This window comes from Homo sapiens, chromosome 19 (genome assembly GCF_000001405.40).
Source record: "Homo sapiens chromosome 19, GRCh38.p14 Primary Assembly".
Lineage (NCBI taxonomy): Eukaryota > Metazoa > Chordata > Mammalia > Primates > Hominidae > Homo > Homo sapiens.
In genome coordinates, this window is record NC_000019.10 from 16479061 (window position 1) to 16505524 (window position 26464).

At 48.4% G+C, this 26464-nt stretch overlaps 2 protein-coding genes across 7 annotated transcripts in view, besides 5 other annotated features; one reads left to right on the top strand and one right to left on the bottom strand.

Annotated features, from left to right (window-relative positions):
- On the bottom strand, window positions 1-17107 carry CALR3 (calreticulin 3). The gene is made up of 9 exons (NM_145046.5): window positions 16979-17107; window positions 16691-16792; window positions 11307-11510; window positions 6103-6197; window positions 4870-5055; window positions 3618-3725; window positions 3390-3521; window positions 1554-1646; window positions 1-214 (listed from the first exon to the last, which is right to left on the bottom strand). The coding sequence occupies exons 1-9, from the start codon at window positions 17067-17069 to the stop codon at window positions 71-73; spliced, it is 1155 nt and encodes a 384-aa protein (NP_659483.2). The 5' UTR covers window positions 17070-17107; the 3' UTR covers window positions 1-70.
- Window positions 7558-7852: a silencer, noted in NCBI's record as "tiled region #3003; HepG2 Repressive DNase matched - State 8:EnhW". NCBI's record gives its function as "represses a minimal TATA promoter and a strong SV40 promoter by Sharpr-MPRA in HepG2 cells {active_cell/tissue: HepG2}" and the evidence as "EXISTENCE:reporter gene assay evidence [ECO:0000049][PMID:27701403]".
- Window positions 16371-16871: an enhancer, noted in NCBI's record as "H3K27ac hESC enhancer chr19:16606242-16606742 (GRCh37/hg19 assembly coordinates)". NCBI's record gives its function as "activates a minimal SCP1, AML or CMV promoter by ChIP-STARR-seq in naive H9 embryonic stem cells {active_cell/tissue: H9 hESC(naive)}" and the evidence as "EXISTENCE:reporter gene assay evidence [ECO:0000049][PMID:30033119]".
- Window positions 16872-17372: an enhancer, noted in NCBI's record as "H3K27ac hESC enhancer chr19:16606743-16607243 (GRCh37/hg19 assembly coordinates)". NCBI's record gives its function as "activates a minimal SCP1, AML or CMV promoter by ChIP-STARR-seq in naive H9 embryonic stem cells {active_cell/tissue: H9 hESC(naive)}" and the evidence as "EXISTENCE:reporter gene assay evidence [ECO:0000049][PMID:30033119]".
- Window positions 16872-17436: a biological region, named in NCBI's record as "H3K27ac hESC enhancer GRCh37_chr19:16606743-16607243".
- Window positions 17007-17436: an enhancer, noted in NCBI's record as "active region_14236". NCBI's record gives its function as "activates an Ori minimal core promoter by ATAC-STARR-seq in GM12878 lymphoblastoid cells {active_cell/tissue: GM12878}" and the evidence as "EXISTENCE:reporter gene assay evidence [ECO:0000049][PMID:35858748]".
- The window catches only part of C19orf44 (chromosome 19 open reading frame 44), a 24959-nt gene continuing 15828 nt past the window's right edge, over window positions 17334-26464 (top strand). For all 6 annotated transcript variants that reach the window (NM_032207.4, XM_006722920.5, XM_011528354.4 and 3 more), the window contains exons 1-3: window positions 17334-17405; window positions 21732-22491; window positions 24005-24320. In NM_032207.4, coding sequence (NP_115583.1) covers window positions 21733-22491; window positions 24005-24320 — 1075 coding nt within the window. In that variant the 5' untranslated portion in view covers window positions 17334-17405; window position 21732. The remainder of the gene's footprint in view (window positions 17406-21731; window positions 22492-24004; window positions 24321-26464) is intronic.

Here is a 26464-nt window from a genome sequence, read left to right on the forward strand (position 1 = left end):
TTTGAGTTTGAAACATAGATTAAAGTAGCAATGAGATTTTACCAGTCATCCTTATATCCAATGGGGATCACTAAAGTTCATTCCTTCTGTGAAATTGATTGAAGTAATGTTCGTGCCTGTTAATTTTTCCCGACAGCAGCTCTTCCTCCTCTTCCTCGCGGGCCTTCTTCATTTCCTCCTTGGCCTGTATGGCATCCATCTCCCTTTCTGGACCCTGGAGAAAGAAAGAAAAAACATAAGCCCCACCGGGTGCGATGGCTCGTGCCTGTAATCCCAGCACTTTGGGAGGCCGAGGCAGATGGATCACGAAGTCAGGAGATCGAGACCATCCCGGCTAACACGGTGAAACACAGTCTCTACCAAAAATACAAAAAAAAAAAAGCCAGGCGTGGTGGTGGGCGCCTGTAGTCCCAGCTACTCGGGAGGCTGAGGCAGGAGAATGGCCTAAACCTGGGAGGCAGAGCTTGCAGTGAGCTGAGATCACTCTACTGCACTCCATCCTGGGCGACAGAGCAAGACTCTGTCTCAAAAAAAAAAAAAAAGCAAAAATTAGCTGGGCGTGGTGGTGTGTGGCTGTAGTCCCAGCTGCTCGGGAGGCTGAGGTGAGAGGATCATTTGAACCTAGGAGGCGGAGGTTGCAGTGAGTCGAGATGGCACCACTGCACTCCAGCCTGGGTGACAGAGCAAAACCCGTCTCAAAACAAAACAAAACAAAACAAAACAAAAAAAGCCCCAGAGGCCAGGGGTTATGCTTCCATGTGGCCAAATGCATGTCAGTACTCAGGCAGACCCTGCCTTCTAGAAGCCTCCTCACCACCTAGGATAGGCTGAATAAGAAGAACCTGTAAAGATTGCATGTCCTGGCTGGGCGCGGTGGCTCACACCTGTAATCCCAGCACTTTGGGAGGCCGAGGCAGGCAGATCATGAGGTCAAGAGAGCGAGACCATCCTGGCCAATATGGTGAAACCCCGTCTCTACTAAAAATACAAAAATTAGTTGGGTGTGGTGGCAGGTGCCTGTAGTCCCAGCTACTCGGGAGGCTGAGGCAGGAGAATCGCTTGAACCGGGAGGTGGAGGTTGCAGTGCGCCGAGATCACGCCACTGTACTTCAGCCTGGCGACAGAGCGAGACTCCGTCTCAAAAAAAAAAAAAAAAAAAAAAAATTCATGTCCTAATCCCTGGAACCTGCCAATATTAACCTTACATGGGGCCAGGCACAGTGGCTCACTCCTGTAATCCCAGCACTTTGGGAGGCCAAGGCAGGTGGATCACCTGAGGTCAGGACTTCGAGACCAGCCTGAACAATATGGTGAAACCCCCTCTCTACTAAAAATACACAAATTAGCCGGACGTGGTGGCATGCGCCTGTAGTCCCAGCTACTTGGGAGTCTGAGGCAGGAGAATCGCTTGAACCCGGGAGGTGGAGGTTGCAGTGAGCCGAGACTATGCCACTACATTACAGCCTGGGTGACAGAGCTAGACTCCATCTAAAAAAAAAAAATTTACACAAATGAAATAGTGATGTAGGAAGAGTTAATCACGTGCTTCATACCTTGGTTTCGCCCCAGGTGGCCTTGCCAAAATTATCTGCGTACTCTTCATCATCTGTGATCAGAAAGTTATCAAAAATGGTTCCAGATCTCACCTGCAGATGAAAATAAGGCCTTCATTATTATGCTTTTATTCTTTATTATTTGTTTATTTTTCATTTCTTTTTTCCTTTGGAAATACATGAAGCTCAGGTGACATTTTTTATTTTTTAGAGATGGGGTCTTGCTATGTTGCCTAGGCTGGATTTGAACTTCTGGGCTTGGCCAGGCGTGGTGGTTCACACCTATAATCCCAGCACTTTGGGAGGCTGGGGCAGGTGAATCACTTGAGGTCAGGAGTTCAAGACTAGCCTGGCCAACACGGTGAACCCCATCTCTATTAAAAATACAAAAATTACCAGGTGTGGTCGTGCATGCCTGTAGTCCCAGCTACTTGGGAGGCTGAGGTGGGAGGATCGCTTGAACCCGGGAAGCAGAAGCTGCAGTGAGTTGAGATCGTGCCACTGCACTCCCGCCTGGGTGACAGAGTGAGACTCAGTCTCAAAGAAAAAAAAAAAAGAACTGGGCTCATGTGATGGTCCCACTTCAGCCTCCCCAGTAGCTGGGACTATTACAGGCGTGAGCCATACTGTCCCTGGCTACTAGGCCTTCATTATTGATGTGACATATGTAACAACTTTTCAAAAAGAAACAGTTGTATTTTGCTCAGTAGTGTATACTATAACAGCAATTAGAATAGTAGGTGGTGCTTAAACCCATTTCTAGAATATCCTTTCCCTCTAAGGCACTGGTTCCTTAAACGTGGCTGCACATCGGGATCACCAAAACTTTTTTTTTTTTTGAGACTTAGTCTCGCTCTGTTTTTTTTTTTTTTTTTTTTGAGATGAAGTGAAGTCTCACTCTGTTGCGGAGGCTGGAGTGCCGTGGCGCGATCTTGGCTCACTGCAACCTCCACTTCCTGGGTTCAAGTGATTCCTCCCAGGATTAAGTTATTCTCATGCCTCACCCTCCTGAGTAGCTGGGACTACAAGCACGCACCACCACACCCAGCTAATTTTTGTATTTTTAGTAGAGACGAAGTTTCACTATGTTGCCCAGGCTGCTCTCAAACGCCTGAGCTCAGGCAATCTGCCCCCCTCAGCCTCCCAAAGTGCTGGGATTACAGGCATGAGCCACTGAGCCCAGCTGGGATCACCAAAGCATTAAAACAAAAAAACAAACAAAACTCTCAGCACTTTGGAAGGCTGAGGTGGAAGGACTGCTTGAGCCTAGAAGTTCTGAGACTCCCATCTCTTTTTTTTTTTTTTTTTTTTGAGACGGAGTCTTGCTCTGTCACCCAGACTGGAGTGCAGTGGCCCGATCTCAGCTCACTGCAAGCTCTGCCTCCCGGGTTCACGCCATTCTCCTGCCTCAGCGTCCCGAGTAGCTGGGACTACAGGCGCCCGCCACCACGCCCGGCTAATTTTTTTTGTATTTTTAGTAGAGACGGGGTTTCACCATGTTAGCCAGGATGGTCTCGATCTCCTGACCTTGTGATCCACCCGCCTCAGCCTCCCAAAGTGCTGGGATTACAGGAGTGAGCCACCGCGCACAGCCTAGACTCCCATTTCTTAAAAAAAAAAAATCTGGATGTGGTGGCTTGTGCCTGTAGTCCTAGCTACTTGGGAGGCTGAGGTGGGAGGATCGCTTGGGCCTAGTTTGAGGCTACAGTGAGCTAGGATGGTGCCACTGCACTCCAGCCTAGGTGACAGAATGAGACCCTGTCTCAACAAAACAAAACAAAACAAAACAAAACACACACACGCAAAAAATCTAAAGTAAAGTTAAAACCAAATGACCTGCCAAAGCTCCAGGCCAATGGCACCAATGTTCTCAAATTCTGAGAGGTCATACTGCGTCAAATAGTCGGTATTCTTCATCTTACGGTGGAGCCAGACGTCTTTATGAATACCTTCTGGTTTCAGGCCATCCTGTATCAAAAAAACCATATGGGGTGGTCTCAATGACATGGGCAGCGGAGGGGCAGCCCTGGGGCATCCCTGGCATCATACAAAGAGGCCACACACCTGGTACGGGGGCTTCTGGAGCATCGGCGCTGGCCAGTCCCCATCCAGGTCACCGTTCCAGTCGCTCTGCTTGCTGGTGCTGGCGTCCAGAAAATGCTTCTCCCAGTCCTTCAAAGACATGTAAGGAAAAAGTAAAATCAGTCAGATGCTCATATATTTGTTGTTGTTGCTTCTGTTTTTGTTTCTTGAGACTAGGTTTTGCTCTCACCCAGGCTGGAGTGCGGTTGTGCAATCATGGCTCACTGCAGCCTCAACCTCTTGGGCTCCAGTGATCCTCCTGCCTCAGCCTCCCAAGTAGCTCGGACTACAGGCGCCCGCCATCATACCTGGCTACTATTTTTATGTTTTGTACAGTCAGGGTCTCCCTCTGTTGCCCAGGCTGGTCTCGAACTCCTGGGTTCAAGCGATCCTCCTGCCTTGACCTCTGGAAGTGCTGGTATTACAGGCATTAGCCACCACACCCAGCCAGATGCTCAGATTTGAGAAAGGAAATTATTAGATGCCAAGTGGCAGGCACAGGCTGGTGACCCCTGTCCCAGTGTCCCTCTCCCTTCTTCAGTTTGGTGGTCAGGAGGCCAAGTGCTTGGTGCTTCCAATCCCACTGAGGACTTCAGGGCAACACCACACTGCCTAGATTTTTCTCCCTAACCTGCCATATGACTTTAGCCCTTTCCTGCATGCTATGGAGAGGAGCAGCGGTGTGGAAACCTCAAGTAGTGGCTAGAGTGAAAAATGATGGTGCAAAAAGTGATGGTGATGGCCAGATGTGGTGGCTCACACCTGTAATCCCAGCACTTTGGGAGGCCAAGGCAGGCAAATCACTTGAGGTCGGGAGTTCGAGACTAGCCTGGCCAACATGGTGAAACCCCATCTCTACTAAAAATACAAAAATTAGCCAGGGATGGTGGCGGGTGCCTGTAATCCCAGGTATTCGGGAGGCTGAGGCAGGAGAATCACTTGAACCTGGGAGGCGGAGGTTGCCGTGAGCTGAGATCACGCCACTGCACTCCAGCCTGGGCAAGAAGAACGAAACTCTGTCTCAAAAAATAAATAAATAAGTAAATAAATAAATGTTTTACGATACCTTCAGATGTGTAGAGATGTGGCTGGTCTGCAGTGTGTGCTCTGGGGAGGGCATTTGGTTCTATAATATTGCCATCGTGGCTACCAGCCATGCAGCAATTGTCCAGTAACTGGGTACTTACAAACTACATTTGTGCACTTTTTAGAGTTGCCCAGGAAAAATTCACACCTGGGCTTTGTTGTCTTTAGTCTGTTCCCAATCCTTCGATTCTGCCGGGGACGTTTCCTTCTTGAGTGATGTTAAGTTCCAGTCGTACTCTATGCTGCCGGATTCAATTGACTGACCATCAATTTTCACATCATAAGAAAGATCTGGTCTTAAAATTAGAGTGTACAGGTGTGTGAAGCCATCAACCTGCATATTTTAGGGGGAAAAGCGTAACAATTAAATCCTCAATTTCTTTTTTCTTTTCTTTTCTTTTTTTTTTTTTTTTTGAGATGGAGTCTCACTCTGTCGCCCAGGTTGGAGCGCTGTGGCACAATCTCGGCTCACTACAACCTCCACCTCCTGAGTTCAAGCGATTCTACTGCCTCAGCCTCCTGAGAAGCTGGGATTACAGGCACCTGCCACCATGCCTGGGTAATTTTTTGTGTCTAGTAGAGACAGAGTTTCACCATGTTGACCAGGCTGGTCTCGAACTCCTGACCTCAGGTGATCCACCTGCCTCAGCCTCCCAAAGTGCTGGGATTACAGGCATGAGCCACCACGCCCGGCCAACTCTCGATGTTTTAATGCAAGTCTAAATATGCAGTTTATTTTTATTTTTATTTTTTTGAGACAGGGTCTTGCTCTGTCACCCAGGCTGGAGTGCAGTGGTGCAATCAGAGCTCACTACAACCTTGACCTCCCAGGCTCAAGTGACCCTCCCACCTCAGCCTCCCCAGTAGCTGGGACCACAGGTTCCTGGCACTACACCTGGCTAATTTTTGTATTTTTTGTCATGACAAGATTTCGCCATGTTGCCCAGGCTGGTCTTGAACTCCTTGGCTCAAGCAGTCCTCCTGCCTCAGCTTCCCAAACTGCTGGGATTACAGGTGTGAGCCACTGCACCCAGACATTTCTCCAGAATGTTTTTTTCATCCTGAATATTTCATTCATTAATGAGGATGGATGTGGCTGAAATGTGACTGTACTATTGTAACCCTCATAGGGCAAATGATGACATGTCATAGCTCACAGTAAAAAATGAGAGTGCCCTCCTGATGGGGTAAAAACTTCAGGAAACCAGTTAAAGGAGAGAAGTATCTCCAATGGGCCCCCTAAACTGGAAACTGGAAACAGGAGGTATGTCTACAAAGACCCATCCCTGGCTCAGTTAAGTATTTTATTATCAAAACTATTTTTTCTAAACTTAGTCTGGCAGGAGTTAACACTCATTTATTTGAATACAAGAGCAGTTACCTTACACCTGATCAGTTTCTTGTTTTCGTGATACTTATTCTTGAAATGTAAAATAACATGAACTTTCTTGATATCAAATCCACAAATATCGGGTCCTACAAAAAAGATTAGCTGCTCTCAATTTCTTTCCATAATGCATCACCGTAGAATAACCAACCCACAACCATTCTTTTTTTTTTTTTGAGACGGAGTCTTGCTGTCACCCAGGCTGGAGTGCAGTGATCTTGGCTCACGGAAACTTCTGCCTCTTGGGTTCAAGCAATTCTCCTGCCTCAGCCTCCTGAGTAGCTGGGACTACAGGCGCATGCCACGATGCCCAGCTAATTTTTGTATTTTTAGTAGAGATGGGGTTTCACCATGCTGGCCAGGCTGGTCTCAAACTCCTGACCTTGTGATCCACCTGCCTCGGCCTCCCAAAGTCCTAGGATTACAGGCTTGAAACACCACGTGCAGTCCATTCTTCTTACATATAATCAGATATTCACACTAAGATATTTATTTATTTATTTGAGACAGAGTCTCACTCTGTCGCCCAGGCTGGAGTGCAGTGGTGGGATCTTGGCTCACTGCAGTCTCCGCCTCCCGGGTTTAAGTGATTCTCCTGCATCAACCTCCCGAGTAGAATAGCTGTGATTACAGGCATGTACCACCAGGCCCAGCTAATTTTTGTGTTTTTAGTAGAGACAGGTTTTGCCATGTTGGCTAGGCTGGTCTCAAACTCCTGACCTCAAGTGATTTGCCTGCCTTGGCCTCCCAAAGTGCTGAGATTATAGGTGTGAGCCACTGCATCTGGTCACATGTGTGAATATCTTATTATTGTTGTTAAAGGACAATGTCCTGGCTTTCCACTCACTTTTGAGTGTGTTCTGAAGCTTATTTAAATATTCAAAGTGGCCTGCTAATCCCAGCACTTTAGGAGGCCAAGGTGGGGAGATGACTTGAGGCCAGTTTGAGACCAGCCTGGCCAACATGGTAAAACCCCGTGTGTACTAAAAATACAAAAATTAGCTGGGAGTGGTGGCGTGTCCCTGTAGTCCCAGGGACCTGTGAGGCTGAGGTGAGGGGATCACTTGAACCCAGGAAGTGGAGGTTGCAGTGAGCTGAGATCGGGCCACTGTACTCCAGCCTGGGTGACCAAGCGAGACTCCGTCTCAATTAAAAAAAAAAAAAAAGTGTGGGCTGGGCATGGTGGCTCACGGCTGTAATCCCAGAACTTTGGGGGGCTGAGGCGGGTGAATCACGAGGTCAGGAGTTCGAGACCAGCCTGACTAACATGGTGAAACCCCACCTCTACTAAAAATACAAAAATTAGCCAGCCATGGTGGCACACGCCTGTAATCCCAGCTATTGGGGAGGCTGAGGCAGGAGAATGGCTTGAACCTGGGAGGCGGAGGTTGCAATGAGCCGAGATTGCACCATTGCACTCCAGCCTGGGTGACAGAGCAAGATTCTATCTCAAAAAAAAAAAAAAAAAAAGGTATTTACACATGTAATGGATGTTCATGAGGAAATGTAGACAGATGGGCTCTGTGTTGCCTGTCTGAGGTTTTATGCATAACTTATGCATAGGAATTCATGCAAATGTCAAGACTGACAATAACTGTGCTTCCCTTGTCCTCCTCCTTAACCCCTCACCCTCAGCAAGCTCCCCTCACACTAATGGCTGGCGCTGACTCATTGCAACAAAGTGTCCCAATAGTAACAGAGTGGGTTTGAGTAAAATGGAACTGTTGAATTAAAAACTGAAATACTAAGAAAAATTTATTTTAATCTTTTTTTGACCCCAAATTATGCTGCTTGGCAATTCAGATGTAGTAGACACATGCTATATAGGGGTCTTTATTTATTTATTTATTTATTTCGGACAGGGTCTTATTCTGTCATCCAGGCTGGAGTGCAGTTGTGTGATCATAGCTTACTGCATCCTCAAACTCCTCGGCTCGGGGGATTCCCCTGCTTCAGCCTCCTGAGTAGCTAGAACCACAGGGGTGCGCCACCTCACTGGGTTAATTTTTAAAATTGTTGTAGAGATGGGGCCAGGCGTGGTGGCTCACGCCTGTAATTCCAGCACTTTGGGAGGCCAAAGTGGGTGGATCACCTGAGGTCAGTAGGTCGAGACCAGCCTGTCCAACATGGTGAAACCCCGTCTCTACAAAAATACAAAAAAATTAGCTGGGCATGGTGGTGGGCACCTGTAACCCCAGCTACTTGGGAGGCTGAGGTAGGAGAATCGCTTGAACCTGGGAGGCAGAGGTTGCAGTGAGCCGGGATCGTGCCGTTGCACTCCAGCCTGGGCGACGAGCGAAGCTGTGTCTCCACAAAAAAAAAAAAAAAAACATTTTGTAGAGATGGGGTCTTGCTATATTGCCCAAGCTGGTCTCAAACTCCGGGGCTCAAGTGATCCTCCCTTGATGTTTCAGATATCTGGGTGTTTTTTAGTTCTATTTTTATTTTTATTTTGTATTTTGTATCATTTATTTATTTATTTATTTGAGACGGATTTTTGCTCTCATTGCCCAGGCTGGAGTGCAATGGTGCAATCTCGGCTAACCATAACCTCTGCCTCCCAGGTTCAGGTGATTCTCCTGCCTCAGCCTCCTGAGTAGCTGGGATTATTACAGGCATGCGCCACCACGCCCAGCTAATTTTCAATTTTTTTTTTTTTTTTTGAGACGGAGTCTCACTCTGTTGCCCAGGCTGGAGTGCAGTGGCGTGATCTCAGCTCACTGCAAGCTCCGCCTCCCAGGTTCAGGCCATTCTCCTGCCTCAGCCTCCCGAGTAGATGGGACTACAGGTGCCCACCACCACACCTGGCTAATTTTTTGTATTTTTAGTAGAGACGGGGTTTCACTGTGTTAGCCAAGATGGTCTCAATCTCCTGACCTCGTGATCTGCCCACCTCGGCCTCCCAAAGTGCTGGGATTACAGGTGTGAGCCACCGCGCCCGGCTCTAATTTTGTATTTTTAATAGAAACGGGGTTTCTCCATGTTGGTCAAGCTGGTCTCGAACTCCCGACCTAAGGTGATGCGCCCGCCTCTGGCTCCCAGAGTGCTGGGATAACAGGCGTGAGCCACCGCACAGAGCCCTAATTTTTATTTTTTGTAGTGACAGGGTCTCACTATGTTGGCCAAGCTGGTCTCGAACTCCTGGACTCAAGTAATCCTCCTGCCTGGCCTCCCAAAAGTGCTGGGATTACAGGCATAAGCCACTGTGCCCAGCTGAGGATGAATATTTTGGAAGTACATTCATTCTTTTTTTGGAGATGGAGTCTCGTTCTGTTACCCAGGCTGGAGTGCAGTGGTGAGATCTCGGCTCACTGCAACCTCCACCTCCCAGGTTCAAGCAATTCTCCTGCCTCAGCCTCCTGAGTACCTGGGACTACAGGCATGTGCCACTATGCCCGGCTAATTTTTTTTGTATTTTTAGTAGAGATAGGGTTTTACCATGTTAGCCAGGCTGGTCTTGAACTCCTGAACTCCAGTGATCTGCCCACCTTGGCCTCCCAAAATGCTGAGATTACAGGTGTGAGCCGCGACACCCGGCCTGAGGTACATTTATTATTAAAGTTTTAAGTTACACTATACTTAGGTCTATTTCCTGTGGCCCAGTGTGGTCCCTTCCCAGTTCTAGCACAAATTTTAATCAAGTACCCCTGTTGTCAGGAGACATTTAATATTTTCTAGAGGTTTGCAGGCTTTTTCTATAAAGGCCAGATGGTAAAATATTTTTGGCTTTGTAAGCCTAATGATCTCTGTCATGACAACTTAACTCTGCCACTGGTACTGGCGAGCAGCCACAGACAACATATAAATGAACAGAGTGAGGCTGCATTCCAGTAAGACTTCATTTATGCACACTGAAATCTAAATTTCATATAATTTTCATGTATCACAAAATATCATCTTGTATTGATTTTTTCCAACCAGTTAAAAACGTAAAAAACATTTTTAGTTCACAGGTTATATAAACACAGGCAGTGGGCCAATTTGGCCCACGGCCAAGGTTTACTGAGTACTGAAGGATTCAAAACACAGGTTGAGGCCAGGCGTGGTGGCTCACGCCTGTAATCCCAGCACTTTGGAAGGCCAAGGTGGGTGGATCACCTGAGGTCAGGAGTTCGATACCTGCCAGGAGTTCGAGACCAGCCTGACCACCATGGTGAAACCCCATCTTGGCCGGGTGCAGTGGCTCACGCCTGTAATCCCAGCACTTTGGGAGGCTGAGGTGGGCGGATCACCTGAGATCGGGAGTTCAAGACCAGCCTGACCAACATGGAGAAACCCCGTCTCTACTAAAAATACAAAAATTAGCTGGGCATGGTGGTGCATGCCGGTAATCCCAGCTACTTGGGAGGCTGAAGCAGGTGAATCCCTTGAACCTGGGAGGAGGAGGTTGCAGTGAGCCGAGATCATGCCATTCCACTCCAGCCTGGGCAACAAGAGCGAAACTCTGTCTCAAAAAAAAAAAAAACCCATCTCTACTAAAATACAAAAAAATTAGCCAGGTATGGTGGCACATGCCTGTAATCCCAGCTACTCAAGAGGCTGAGATAGGAGAATCACTTGAACCCAGGAGGCGGAGATTGCAGTGAGGCGAGATCAAGCCATTGCCATTGCACTCCAGCCTGGTTCACAAGAGTGAAAACTCGGGCTCGAAACAAAAACAAAAACAAAAACAAAAACAAAAACAAAAACAAACAAACAAAAAAACTACACAGGTTGAGCATCCCAAATCAAAAAATCGCAAATCTGAAGTGTTCCAAAACCCAAAACTTTTAGAATCAACATGATGCTCAAAGGAAATGCTCATCAGAGCATTGTGGATTTCAGATTTTTCAGATTAGCGTTGTTCAACCAGTAAGGATAATGCAAATAATCCAAAATCCAAAAAAAATTTCCAAAATCCAAAACACTCTGGTCCCAAACATTTCAGATAAGGTATCCTTACCCTGCATGAGGGCAACATTAATGGTGAATAAATAACTTCTTCAGGAACACAACAGACTGGTACAGTTGCCTTTTTATATTAATTAGGCTTAATAGTGCTTGGATCCGATACACTCAATACTACTACAAACCTTGGATCCGATATACTCAATACTACTACCTTCACTACATTAGCAAAGTCTTAGTCTAAAGATCCTGTGAAGTGGGAGGGTTTTCAAAGTCACTAGAAGTGGTTGTGTTGCACCACGTAAACTCACCAAACATAATATAGTACTGCGATTTTCCATTCAGGTTCTTCTGGTCAATGTCTGCAGGAAAGACCTTAATGTAGCCCCCTCCACAGTCCATCTTCTGCTCATGTTTTACTGTGTACTGAATAACCAGAGTTTTCCCTTTATTGCTGAACGGTTTGAAGCGTGCAGAGATGGCATAGAATCGGCCATTCTGAGTGGTTTGCAGACCTTTGAACAAAATATACTCATGAAGGATCAGGAATGACGCTGCGCTAAGTAACGCAGGAAGTTAAATCGATGTCCTTCCCTTACTCCCAAACATAAATGTCCTAACCATTTACAGTGATCTACAGTGCCAACAGAGCATTATACAATAATGCATAATGGGTAGACCACTAGCAGGCACTCTGCTTCTATATAATTTTTTTTTTTTGACATGGAGTCTCACTCTGTCGCCCAGGCTGGAGTGCAATGGCGTGATCTCGGCTCACTGCAACCTCCACCTCCCGGGTTCAAGTGATTCTCCTGCCTCAGCCTCCTGAGTAGTTGGGATTACAACTACAATTAGCCACCACGCCAGGCTAATTTTTGTATTTCTAGTAGAGATAGGGTTTCTCCATGTTGGTCAGGCTGGTCTTGAACTCCTGACCTCAGGTGACTGCCCGTCTCAGCCTCCCAAAGTGCTGGAATTACAGGTGTGAGCCAGCGTGCCTGGCCCATACAACTTTTATTTCACACACCTGGAAGTTTTTGTTCTTAATATACCACTGTTCTTAATTAGTTAATTAATTATTTTTTGAGATGGAGTCTCGCTCTGTCGCCCAGGCTGGAGTGCAGTGGCACGATCTCTGCCCACTGCAAGCTCCACCTCCTGGGTTCACGCCATTCTCCTGCCTCAGCCTCCCGAGTAGCTGGGACTACAGGCGCTGGCCACAACACCCAGCTAATTTTTTGTATTTTTAGTAGAGACAGGGTTTCACCATGTTAGCCAGGATGTTCTCGATCCCCTGACCTCATGATCCGCCTGCCTCGGCCTCCCAAAGTGCTGGGATTACAGGCGTGAGCCACCGTGCCCGACTGGTCCCTTTCCTAAACATTCTACTCTGCCTTTTCAGCATAAAAGGCAGCCATAGACAATATATAAATGAATGGACTGCCAGGCATGCTGGCTCACGCCTGTAATCCCAGCACTTTGGGAGGCTGAGGCAGGCGGATCACGGGGTCAGGAGTTTGAGACCAGCCTGGCCAACATGGTGAAACCCTATCTCTACTAAAAATACAAAAATTAGCGGGGTGTGGTGGCATGTGCCTGTAGTCCCAGCTACTCAGGAGAGTGAGGCAGAAGAATCGCTTAAACCCAGGAGGCGGAGGTTGCAGTGAGCCGAGATTGCACCGCTGCACTCCAGCCTGGGTGACAGAGTGAGACTCCGTCTCCAAAAAAAAAAGAATGGATGTGGCTGTGTTCCAGTGAAACTTAATGGACACTAAACTTTCTTTCTTTCTTTTCTTTTTTCTTTTGAGACAGAGGCTCGCTCTATTGCCCAGACTGAATCTCTGCTCACTGCAACCTCCGCCTCCCAGGTTCAAGCGATTCTCCTGCCTCAGCCTCCTGAGTAGCTGCGACTACAGGCGTGCGACACCATGCCTGGCTAATTTTCATATTTTTAGTAGAGATGGGGTTTCACCACGTTGCCCAGGCTGGTCTTGAACTCCTGGCCTCAAGTGATCCACTCACCTTGGCCTCCCAGAGTGCTAAGATTACAGGTGTGAACCACTGTGCCTGGCCTAAACTTTCACATATGTGAAAGCAAATACAATTTAAAGCCTTGAGAGGCCAGGCATGGTGGCTCACATCTGTAATCTCAACACTTTGGGAGGCTGAGCCGGGTGGATCACTTGAAGTCAGAAGTTCGAGACCAGCCTGGCCAACGTGGGGAAACTCCATTTCTACTAAAAATACAAAATTAGCCGAGCGTAGTGGCGCGTGCCTGTGGTCCCAGCTACTCGGGAAGCTCAGGCAGCTGAACTGTTTGAACCTGGGAGATGGAGGAGCCATTGCACCCCAGCCTGGGTGGCAGGGCGAAACTCCGTTTAAAAAAATAAATAAGCCAGACGCAGTGGCTCACGCCTGTAATTCCAACACTTTGGGAGGCCGAGGCGGGCGGATCACCTGAGGTTGGGAGTTGGAGACCAGCCTGACCAACATGGAGAAACCCTGTCTCTACTAAAAATACAAAATTAGGCCGGGCGCGGTGGCTCATGCCTGTAATCCCAGCACTTTGGGAGGCCGAGGCGGGAGGATCACGAGGTCAGGAGATCGAGATCATCCTGGCTAACACGTGAAACCCTGTCTCTACTAAAAAAAAAAAAATACAAAAAATTAGCCGGGCGTGGTGGCAGGCGCCTGTAGTTCCGGCTACTCGGCAGAAGAATGGCGTGAACCCAGGAGGCAGAGCTTGCAGTGAGCCGAGATCGCGCCACTGCACTCCATCCTGGGCTACAGAGCGAGACTCCGTCTCAAAAAAAAAAAAAAAAAAATTAGCCAGGTGTGGTGGCACATGCCTGTAATCTTAGCTACTTGGGAGGCTGGAAGCAGGAGAATCATTTGAACCTGGGAGGCGGAGGTTGTGGTGAGCAGAGATCACGCCATTGCACTCCAGCCTGGGTAACAAGGGTGAAACTCTCTCTCAAATAAATACATAAAATAAATAAAAACCTTGAGCAAGTTGTGTGATCTGAGTCATGCAGCATGCAGGTGTAACCTCTGCTTCTTAAATCATAGATAAACCTTCTTCCTCATTGTTCTTGTTTGGCAAATGACTAGGACAAACCAGAGACCAGGCCTCCTCTATTTGTGACCACTGACCTTAGTTACAGATTAACTGCCTCCAGGACTGACCTGTACCTAACTCAGACCAGATGGCACAAAAGATGCCGTGACTGTTACATCTTCAGGGTGAAATGTTAAATATACCTTCTCAAAAGAAAAAGACCACCTTGACTAATGGGATCATGGTCATTATCTATCAAGCCTTGCCTAGAAAGATGCTGAAATTCTGTTAAGCTTCTCTAAACTTTGTCTATACAAATGATCCCAAACTTCTACACTTCAGAACACTGACTTCTATTCTTTGGGATCTGTGTTTTCCACACAGTTGTCCTTAAACTTTGAGCTTGAATTAGCTCTCTTGAAGCTAGAATTTTTTTTTTTTTTTTTTTTTTTTTGAGACAGAGTCTTGCTCTGTTGCCCAGGCTGGAGTGTAGTGGCACGATCTCGACTCACTGCAACCTCCGCCTCTCGGGTTCATGTGATTCTCCTGCCTCAATCTCTCAAGTAGCTGGGACTACAGGCCTATGCCACCATGCTCGGCTAATATTTGTATATATATATATTTTTTTTCTTGAGACAGAGTCTTGCTCGGTTATCCAGGCTGGAGTGCAGTGGCATGATCTTGGCTCCCTGCAACCTCCGCCTCCTGGGTTCAAGTGATTCTCCTGCCTCAGCCTCTGAAGTAGGTGAGATTATAGATGTGTGCCACCATGCCCAGCTAATTTTTGTATTTTTAATAGAGACGGAGTTTCGCCATGTTGGCCGGGCTGGTCTCAACCTCAAGTGATTCGCTTGCCTTATCTTGACCTGCCTGTACAAAAGTAAAAGCTCATTGTGTTGTACCCTGAAGAATGTGCAGGCGACAAGATGTAATGTTTATCTCTGTATTTTTTTCTTTTATTTTTTGAAATGGAGTCTCATTCTGTCACCCAGGCTGGAGTGCAGTGGTACAATCTCAGTTCACTGCAACCTCTGCCTCCTGGGTACAAACGATTCTTCTGCCTCAGCCTCCCAATTAGCTGGGATTATAGTTGTGCGCCACCACACTTGGCTAACTTTTTTGTATTTTTGTGGAGACAGGGTTTCACCATGGTGACCAGGCTGGTCTCAAACTCCTGACTTCAAGTAATCCGCCTGCCTTGGCCTCCCAACATGCTGGGATTACAGGCGTGAGCCACCGTGCCTGACCATATTTTTCTTTTTTTTTGAGATGGAGTCTCACTCTGTCACTGAGGCTGGAGTGCAGGGGCATGATCTCTGCTCACTGCAACCTCTGCCTCCCGGGTTCAAGTGATTCTTCTGCCTCAGCCTCCCGAGTAGCTGGGACTACAGGCATGAGCCACCACACCCAGCTAATTTTTGTATTTTTAGTAGAGACAGGGTGTCACCGTATTGGCCAGACTGGTTTTGAACTCCTGACCTCATGATCCGCTCGCCTAAGGCCTCCCAAAGTGCTGGGATTACAGGCATGAGCCACCGCGCCTGGCCTATTTTTCTTTTTAATACGAAAATTAAAATGAGAAAAAGTACCCACTAACCTTTTCCTTCTGAGGGGCATGGCCCTTGATCCTCAAATGCACTTGACTAGTGTCTATTAAGAGGGGCAATTTTGGTAATGCCTACTAATAACACATTCATATAAATATAATCCAAAGAAGGTTAAATACCATTGCATATTTGACAGTGCTTCAAGTATGATTTTATTATACCAAATAAGCTGAATATGTCTCCTTGGACTTCAGGGGACCTAATACCAATAAAAGTAATAATAATGATAATAGGCCAAGCACCATGGCTCACGCCTATAATCCCAGCACTTTAGGAGGCCGAGGCAGGTGGATTACTTAAGGCCAGGAGTTTGAGTCCAGCCTGGGCAATGTGGTGAAACTCTGTCTCTAAAAAAATTAGCAGGGCATGGTGGCGCACGCTTGTAATCGCAGCTCCTCAGAAGCCTGAAGCAAGAGAATCACTTGAACCCGGGAGACGGAGGTTTGAGTGAGCCAAGATCGTGCCACTGCACTCTAGCCTAGGCGACAGAGCGAGACTCCTACTACCAAAAAAAAAAAAAAAAAAAAAAAGGAATCTTTGGCAATAAAGAAAGGAGAGAGGAGGCTGGATGTTGTGGCTCATGCCTGTAATCCCAGCACTTTGGGAGGCCAAGGTGGGTGGATCATGAGGTCAGGAGTTCGAGACCAGCCTGGCCAACGTGGACCCTGTCTCTACTAAAAGTACAAAAATTAGCCGGTCATGGTGGCGCGCGCCTGTAGTCTCAGCTACTCGGGAGGCTGAGGCAGGAGAATTGCTTGAACCCGGGAGGTGGAAGTTGCAGTGAGCCGAAATCGCGCCACTGCACTCCAGCCTGGGCAACAGAGCAAGGCTCCGTCTCAAAAAAAAAAAAAAAAAAAAAGGAGAGAAGAAACAAAAAAACAAGGAAAGGAGCCCCTTAAGTTCTACCTTTGCCTTAATGTCTTCATCTGTAAAACGGGAATAAAAGCGTTTTGGCTGTGCCACAACTACCTAGAGAGGTTGCTATGGAAATGTAACATTAGGCTCAATTTGGTCCTGATTCTACACTAACCTTTATCTTTCTCTTTATGACCATAAAACTTGCCCGACGAAAGTCTAAAATGCCCAAATCGGGAGTCATTGGTGGACTGCAACCATCGGTTTCTCCAATGCTCTGTGGGGAAGGGGAAATAACACCGGTTAGAGGTGATAATGGTTAATTTGGGCTAAGGGAAGGGTGAAGGGGACCCTCGAGGATTCGAGGGTTCGCTGCCGTGGACCCCGTGGCGACTCTGGCCAGCCTTAGGGGGCGGAGATGGGGGAGCTTACACCTCCGCCACCACGGGCGTGGCCCCTTCACCTCCGTCTAGAAATTCCTCTTGGAAATAGACGGTAGCCAGCGCCACTCGCAGCATGCATATGGCCCAGAGCTGGACCAAAGCCCGGGCCATGGGGGTGTGCACTGCGCTTCCGGTCGCCGCCACCCCTTAGCTCCCAGCTCTCTCTGCGGCTCTTCAGGCGCGTCCCGAAACTACAACTCCCGTCACAACTCGCGATTATGACCTGAGGGTCCCATTGGTCGCTGCGGCGCGGGGCACGTTGGGCCCGCCCCGGAACTACCGCTCCCATGACACCCCGCGATTGTGATTCGGGGCGCCATTGGTCTGCGGGGCGCGGTGCTTCCCGGGAGATGTAGTCTCTTCTGCTCTGGCTCTGTTGCCCAGGGCAACCGCTCCTTCAGGCGTGAATGTGGCGGCTGCCTCTGCGAATGGACGGCGTGGGAAGAGGTCGGCAGGGCTGGTGGGGAGGTGACCTAGCTGGGCGTCCGGGCTCGCGAGGGGGATACGGGGAAATGGGGCCTTCTCCGGGGCTGAGCTGGTTGGGCCGCTGCAGGATGGTCCCGCGCCTCAGTTTCCCTGTCTGGGGTCTATTGGAGCATGGTCCTGCGCGGGTCGCTTCATAGCTGGGGAGAAGAGCAGGATGGTCTCAGGGGCGCCAGGGTTTTCAAGTTTTGGTTTGTTGATTTGTAACAACTTTATTGAGCCTTCATTTACATACCATAGTGTTCGCCACTTTTAAGCTGACGACTCCGTTATTTTTAGTAAATCTACAAAGTTGTGAAGCCGTCGCCACCATCCAGCTCATCCAGCTTTAGAACTTTGCGTCAGGCCGGGCGCGGTGATTCACGCCTGGAATCCCAGCACTTTGGGAGGCAGAGGCGGGAGGATCACTTGAGGCCAGGAGATCCAGACCAGCCTGGGCAACCTGGCGAGACCCCATCTCTAAAAAAGATAAAAATAAAAAATTAGCCAGGTGTAGTGGCACGCGCCTGTAGTCCCAGCTACTCAGGATGTTGAGGCAGGAGGGAGGATTGCTTGTGTCCAGGAGGTCAAGGGCTGCTGTGAGCTGTGATCATGCCACTGCACTCCGGCTAATTTTTTGTATTTTTAGTAGAGATGGGGTTTCACCATGTTTGCCACGCTGGTCTCGAACTCCTGACCTCACGTAATCTGCCAGCCTTGGCCTCCCAAAGTGCTGGGATTATAGGCGTGAGTCACAGCACCGGCCCGATCTGCTTTCTGAGTTTATTGGTTTGCCTTTTCTTGACAGTTCTTACAAATGAAATGATAGGGTGTGTGGAGTTTAGTGTCTGGCTACTTTCTTTTTTCTTTCCTTTTTTTTTTTTTTTTGAGACAGATTCTCGCTCTGTTACTTAGGCTGAAGTGCAATGGTGCGATCTCGGCTCACTGCGAACTCCGCCTCCCAGGTTCAAGCAATTCTCCTGTCTCAGCGTCCTGAGTATTTGGGATTACAGGCGCATGACACCACGCCCCGCTAATTTTTGTATTGTTAGTAGAGACGGGGTTTTACCATGTGTGTCAGGCTGGTCTCGATCTCCTGACCTCGTGATCCGCCCGCCTTAGCCTCCCAAAGTGCTGGGATTACAGGCGTGAGCCACTGCGCCCGGCTTGGCTACTTTCCCTTAGCGTGATGTATTTGAGATTCCTGCGTGCTGTTATATTAGTATTTGTTTTTTAAATTGCTGAACTGTATTACACTGTATGGATGGACCATAGTTTGTAATCCATTCACTAATTAATGGATAGTTACATTGTTTTCCGTTTTAGTCTACTAGGAGTAATAAATATTATGGGGCCAGGTATGATGATGTGGGATTGTAATCTCAGCATTTTGGGAGGCTGAGGCTGCGGATCTCTAGAACCCCAGGAATCTGAGAACAGCCTGGGCAACACAGTGAGACCTTGTTTCTACAAAAAGTTAGCTAGGCATGGCAATGTGTGTCTGTAGTCCCAGCTACCCAGGAAGCTGAGGTGGGAGGATCGCGTGACCCCGGGAGGTCGAGGCTGTAGTGAGCCATGATAACACCACTGCACTCAGCCTGGGCAACAGAGTGAGAGCCTGTCTCAAAACAAAACAAAACTATTACGAACATTTGCATACATTTGCATTTCTCTTGGGCCACATGGGAGTGGAATCCCTGGATCACATGGTAACTCTATGTCTAACCTTTTGAGGAACCAACTGTTTTCCACATTGAGGACTACATAATTTTACAATTCCCCCAACAACATATGAGGGTTCCAATTTCTTTATTTTTTTTAGAGATAGGGTCTTGCCCTATCATCCGGGCTGGAGTCCAGTGGCACGATCATAGCTCACTGCAGCCTCAAACTCCTGGGCTCAAGCAATCCTCCCACCTCAGCCTCCCGAGTAACTGGGACTACAGGTGTGTGCCATCAGACCCAGCTAATTTTTTCATTTTTTGTAGAGATGGAGTCTCCCTATGTTGCCCAGGCTGGTCTCGAACTCATGGGTTCAAACAGTCCTCCCATCCTGGCCTCCCACAGTGCTGGGATTACAGGTGTGAGCCACTGTGGGCTTCAATCTGTTCACTTCCTCACTGACACTTGTTACGTGTATTTTTGATTATAGCCATGCTAGGGGATGTGAAGTAGTAGCTCCTCATGGTTTTTTTCTTTTTTTTTTTTGAGACGGAGTCTCTCTCTTTTGCCCAGGCTGGAGTGCAATGGCGCGATCTCGGTTCACTGCAAGCTCTGCCTCCTGGGTTCATGCCATTCTCCTGCCTCGGCCTCCTGAGTAGCTGGGACTACAGGCGCCCACCACCGCGCCCGGCTAATTTTTTGTGTTTTTAGTAGAGACGGGGTTTCACTGTGTTAGCCAGGATGGTCTCTATCTCCTGACCTCATGATCCGCCCACCTCGGCCTCCCAAAGTGCTGGGATTACAGGCGTGAGCCACCACGCCTAGTCTGTTACTGGCATTTAAATGTTACTGAGCACTTTTTCATGTCCCACACAGAATATATAGGAATCCTATGAGGGTAGTAATTGTTATTTTTACAGATGAGCAGGCTGACACAGAGCGATTAAGTAACTTGCCCGGGGTCACACAGACCAGGAAGTCTGCATTATTTCTGCCAGGCATATTTTTCTGTTCTCTGACCCCTGTGGTCAGTCCTGTGCTGGGCACTCCTAGTACAGGGTAGTTAAGATAGGAACAAGCAAACAAGTTTATTCGGGAAACAGATTGTTAATAGGAATCATAATTCATTCTTGTATAGAATCTTTTTTTTTTCTTTTTTTTTGAGACGGAGTTTTACTCTGTCACCCAGGCTGGAGTGCAGTGGCGCAGTCTCGGCTCACTGCAAGCTCCGCCTCCCGGGTTCATGCCATTCTCCTGCCTCAGCCTCCGGAGTAGCTGGGACTACAGGCGCCCGCCACCACGCCCGGCTAATTTTTTTGTATTTTTAGTAGAGACGGGGTTTCACCGTGGTCTCGATCTCCTGACCTCGTGATCCACCCGCCTTGGCCTCCCAAAGTGCTGGGATTACGGGCATGAGCCACCGCACCCGGCCTGTAGTTTTTCATCTTTTAAAGTCTTTGTAATCTTCGGAAGCCTTTGTAAGTCTTGCAGTGGGTTGTTCATACTCTTTCAGGGGTATATGGGAACTCTGAGAATATGATGAAAGCTCTGATATTTCTACCTAGAAAAATATACACATACGGTAAAGATTTGCTGGCCTGCTGGGGAGCTGTGCCTGTCCATAGCCCCCCTCTTTCCCAGGGTAGCGGTTCTTCTTTTTTTTTTGAGACAGAGTCTCGCTCTGTCGTCCAGGCTGGAGTGCAGTGGTGTGATCTCGGCTCACTGCAACCTCCACCTCCCGGGTTCAAGCGATTCTCCTGCCTCAGCTTCCTAAGTAGCTGGGACTACAGGTGGTGCCACCAGGCCCGGCTAATTTTTGTATTTTTAGTAGAGACGGGGTTTCACCATGTTGATCAGACTGGTCTTGAACTTATGACCTCGTGATCCACCCACCACGGCCTACCAAAGTGCTGGGATTATAGGCATGAGCCACCACGCCTGGCGCTTGACTAATTTTTGTATTTTTAGTAGAGATGGGGCTTTGCCATGTTGGCCAGGCTGGTCTCGAACCCCTGGGCTCAGGTGATCTGCTTGCCTTGGCCTCCTAAACTGCTGGCATTATAGGTGTGAGCCACTGAGCCCAGCCATTGGTAATGGTTCTTACACTAAGTGAAATCTGATTTTCTGGGGGCTTGTTAAATACAGGGATACCTCGATTTTCACACGTCACCTTATTGCTCTTTCAGGTAATTTGTCTTTTCTTTTTTCTTTTTCTTTTTTTTTTTTTTTAGACAGGGTTTCACTCTGTAGCCCAGGCTAGAGTGCAGTGGCAGGCATGGTGGTGTGCACCTGTAGTCCCAGCTACACAGGAGGCTGAGGCAGGAGGATCACTTGAGCCTGAGAGGTTGTGCACCACCACGTCCAGCTAATTTTTGTATTTTTAGTAGAGACGGGGTTTCACCATGTTTGCCAGGATGGTCTCAATCTCTTGACATCGTGATCCACCTGCCTCGGCCTCCCAAAGTGCTGGGATTACAGGTGTGAGCCACTGCACCCAGCCTGGTCATTTTCATTGTCATCCTTGGGCTTGAAGGGAAGACTGTGGCTGGGTTGCAAAAGACAGTGTGAGCTTTTGCCAAGTAGGAGCCATTGAATGCTCAATACAAACAGCAGGTACTCTTATGCAAAATTGCTCCTCTTCCTCCACAGAATGGCTTCTGCAAGGAAAGCCAGCCGTCCCATGCGTGATGTTTTTGGTGACTTCAGTGATGTTTCCTTGGAAGATTCAACAATGGAAGAAATCAGAAACTTCCAGATCAGTAGAAATCTTACCAAAATAGCACCTGGTCATAGCAGATTTCTAAAAAGAAACCAAACTCTAGATGAGAAACACTTACTCCTGAAAGAGAACCCTGTGCTCGGGAGTGGACCCAGGCTTGCCTCATGTAGACCGCCCACCACTGCCTCCAGGATCCGAGCCAATGCCGCACTCATGAAGCTGGCCCAGCTGGAAACCCGGATCATGAATCGGAAGCTGCAGAGGAATTTGTCTGACACGGAATCTGACTCAATGACCGCCGATGCTGGTCTTCCAAAGAGAGCTGACAGAATCCTCTCTGGGGGTGCACTCGAACTCGCGTCCCAGAACACAGACAAAACTTCCCAGAATCAAGCCCGTGAACTTCCTGTCACCGAAAATAATGCACAGAACGCGAAGGTCAGTAGGTTTCTAAAGAAGAAACAAGCACCTGTTGAAAACATATCCCCTGAAGCACCTGCTGGGAAAGAGAGGACTTTGCAAACCCCCAAACAGAAAGAACCTGCTAGAACATTTGATTCTCCAGACAGTGACGAAGAAGAAATGAAAGTATTGCTAGGAAGCTTGATGGACTCTTCTAGAGAAAAAAACACGAATCAAGGCTTCAGCAGCGCTAACGTCAGCGAGGAAGAAGAAAGAAAACTATTTTCGGTGAGATTTTTTTTTTTTGGTAAATTTATTTTAATTTATTTAATTTAATTTTTTTTTTGAGATGGAGTTTTGCTCTTGTTGCCCAGGCTGGAGTGCAATGGCACGATCTCTGCTCACCGCAACCTCCACTCCTAGATTCAAGTGATTCTCCTGCCTCAGCCTCCCGAGTAGCTGGAATTACAGGCATGCACCACCACGCCCAGCTAATTTTATGTGTTTAGTAGAGATGGGGTTTCTCCATGTTGGTCAGGCTGGTGTTGAACTTCCGATCTCAGGTGATCTGCCCGCCTCAGCCTCCCAAAGTGCTGGGATTACAGGCATGAGCCACCATGCCCGGCCGGTGACTGGCTACTTTTTTGTATTTTTTTTTTTTTTGAGACCAAGTTTCGTTCTTGTTGCCCAGGCTAGAGTGCAGTGGCGTGATCTCAGCTCACCGCAACCTCCACCTCCCAGGTTCAAGTGATTCTCCTGCCTCAGCCTTCCTGAGTATCTGGGATTACAAGCATGCACCACCATGCCCGGCTGATTTTGTATTTTTAGTAGAGACAGGGTTTCTCCATGTTGATCAGGCTGGTCTCCAACTCCTGACCTCAGGTGATTTGCCTACCTCAGCCTCCCAAAGTGCTGGGATTACAGGTGTGAGCCAGTGTGCGTGGCCTATTTGTGGAATATTTTCTTTCTTTCCTTTTTTTTTTTTTTTTTTTTGAGATGGAGTCTCATTCTGTCACCAGGCTGGAGTGCAGTGGCCTGATCTCGGCTCACTGCAACTTCTGCCTCCTGGGTTCAAGCAATTCTTTTGCCTCAGCCTCCCGAGTAGCTGGGATTACAGGAGCATACCACCACGCCCAGCTAATTTTTGTATTTTTAGTAGAGATGGGGTTTCATCCTGTTGGCCGTGATGGTCTCGATCGCTTGACCTCATGATCTGCCCGCCTCGGCCTCCCAAAGTGCCGGGATTTACAGGCGTGAGCCACCACGCCCAGCCTTGTGGAATTATTTTCTACTCCCAACATTATCTTACCTAAATATTGTACTGTGACTTTCAGAAATGAAGAGAGAAAGGGGATGCAGTAAGAGAAAAATGTGATACCTGTGGTCTTGGTCTCATGCTCCCCGCTAATTGCACTGTCTGTTTAACCATAAGAACTTTTAGGTATCAGCCAGGTATGGTGGCTCACACCTGTAATCCCAGGGTTTTGGAAAGCTTAGGTGGGTAGATTGCTTCAGCTGTGGTCAAGGCCAGTCTGGGCAACATGGCAAAACCCATTCCTACAAAAAAAAAAAAAAAATTAGCCAGGTGTGGTGGCACATACTTGTAGTCCTAGCTGCTTGGGAGGCTGAGGTGAGAGGATTGCTTGAGCCCAGGATGTCGAGGCTACAGTGAGCTATTGAGCCACTGCCCTCCAGCCTAGGCAACAGAGTGAGACCCTTTCTCAAAAAAAAAAAACAAAAAACAAAAAAACAAAAAACCTTAGTTGTCATAAGTTTGTTAATTTCAAGTGTTTTATATCAGGTCCCATCTCAACTGAGAGCATTTACTGTACCCAGCGTGGAACTCTCCAGCGCAAAGCCTTCTCAGACATCACACCTGCCAACCTCCCTGGCAGCAGACAGAACCCTTCACAGCACTCGCTCAAGAGCAGACTACCCACAGAGTCACGTTTCCAGTGACACCGCCTCCCACACGCCGTCAGTTTCCATCACAGGCGCCTTTTCAAACTCAGTGTCTTTAAAGATGGGGCATGTCAAGCTTGTGTCCTCCCCGGGAAGGAGTGAGGCTGAGACTGTGGACGAGCCAGTCTCAGAAGGTGCTGATGACAGCCTCGACGGTAATCCCAGTCCCGGTGCAAAGCCAGTACCTTGGGCAGGAAGGGTGGGGCCACCTTTAGAGTCCCTGACGCAGTGGTCATGGGGCATTGCCACAGGCAGGGAGTTTTGAGTCGCATCTCACACTCAGCTTTCTAACTTTCTTGTCTGGTTGAGGGGCCAAGTCCGATTTTTGTGCTATCTTTATTTATTTATTTAATTCTGAGACAGGGTCTTGCTCTGTCGCTCAGGCTGGAGTGTAGTGGGCATGATCAGGGTTCACTACAGCCTCAACCTCCCAGGCTCAAGCAATCCGCCTGCCTCAGCCTCCTGACCAGCTGGGACCACAAGCGTGTGCCACCACACCGGGCTAATTTTTGTACTCTTTGTGGAGACCAGGTTTCACCATGTTGTCCAGGCTGATCTTGAGTTCCTGGCCTTAGGTGATCTGCCTGCCTTGGCCTCCCAAAGTGCTGGGATTACAAGTGTGAGCCACTACACCTGGCTTACCAACTCATCTCTTGAGTCAATTTAAACCTGTTGGAAGCTGTTGGAGGCTAGGCCTGGTGGCTCACGCCTGCAATCCCAGTGCTTTGGAAAGCCTAGGCAGGAGGAGTTTGAGACCAGCCTGGCAACATGGTGAAACCCTGTTTTTACAAAAAATACAAAAATTAACTGGGTGTGGTTGTGCGCACCTGTAGTCCCAGCTGCTGGGGAGGCTGAGGCAGGAGGATCGTTTGAGCCTGAGAATTGGAGCCTGCCTGGGAATTGGAGGCTGCGGTGAGCTATGAACACACCACTGCACTCCAGCCTGGGTGACAGAGCAAGACTCCATCTCTAAAAAAAAATTTTTTTAAACCCAAAAACCTGTTGGGGCACCAGAATCTCCACAGAGAACCCCACACTCCTGGGTCCCGGCACACACTTGGTTCAGGCACTGGCCTCCACCCTAAGGTTCTGTGGTGCCTTTGACTTGCTGTACTATTTTTTTGTTTTTTAGAACTCTTTTTTTCAGAACTCACAGTCTATTAACTTGCTGTAAATGACAACATAGGATGCTTTGGGGCCATGTCTCAGGTCTGCCCCTGCTCCACAGTCTTCCCACTCTTTCCCCCCAGCTGGCTGGCTGCCCTGCCACCTCCCACCCCTTACACCACACACGTACTTCTCAGCAACTTCCAACAGTACACTCTGATCAGCTGCTAATCTGTCTAGACCAGGGGCTAGCAGGCCTGTCTTCTGTCTGTTTTTTTTTTTGTTTGTTTGTTTTTTTGAGATGTTGCCCAGGCTGGGGTGCAGTGGCGTGATCTCAGCTCACTGTAATCTCTGCCTCCCAGGTTCAAGTGATGCTCCTGTCTCAGCTTCCCAAGTAGCTGGGACTATAGGCGCACGCCACCATGCCTGGCTAATTTTTTGTATTTTTAGTGGAGACGGGACGGGGTTTCACCATGTTGGTGAGGCTGGTCTTTTTTTTTTTTTGAGATGACATCTCGCTCTGTCACCCAGGCTGGAGTGCAATGGCGTGATCTCGGCTCACTGTAACCTCCGCCTCCTGGGTTCAAGCGATTCTCCTGCCTCAGCCTCCCAAGTAGCTGGGACTACAGGTGCCCACCACCACGCCCAGCTAATTTTTATACTTTTAATAGAGACAGGGTTTCACCATGTTGGCCAGGATGGTCTCGATCTCTTGACCTTGTGATCCGCCTGCCTCCGCCTCCCAAAGTGCTAGGATTACAGGCGTGAGCCACCGTACCTGGTGGTCAGGCTGGTCTTGAACTCCTGACCTTGTGATCTGTTCTCCTCAGCCTCCCAAAGTGCTGGGATTACAGGCATGAGCCACTGTGCCCGGCCCTGTCTTCTGTCTGTTTTTTTTTTGACAGAGTTTTGCCCTTGTTGCCCAGGCTGGAGTGCAATGGCGTGATCTTGGCTCACTGCAACTTCCGCCTCCGAGATTCAAGCAATTCTTCTGCCTCAGCCTCTCGAGTAGCTGGGATTACAGGCTCTTGCCACCACGCCCAGCTAATTTTTCTATTTTTAGTAGAGACGGGATTTCAACATGTTGGCCAGGCTGGTCTTCGACTCCTGACCTGAGGTGATCCACCTGCCTCGGCCTCCCAAAGTGCTGGGATTACAGGCATGAGCCACTGCACCAAGCCTGTCTTCTGTC

Coding starts and splice junctions, on each gene's coding strand:
- CALR3 (NM_145046.5), bottom strand. CDS start 17,069: ATGGCCCGGGCTTTGGTCCAGCTCTGGGCCATATGCATGCTGCGAGTG. Junction 5,056..6,102: donor AGAAACTGATCAGGTGTAAG/GTAACTGCTCTT, acceptor TAAAATATGCAG/GTTGATGGCTTCACACACCT. Junction 3,726..4,869: donor CTAAAGACAACAAAGCCCAG/GTGTGAATTTTT, acceptor ATGTCTTTGAAG/GACTGGGAGAAGCATTTTCT.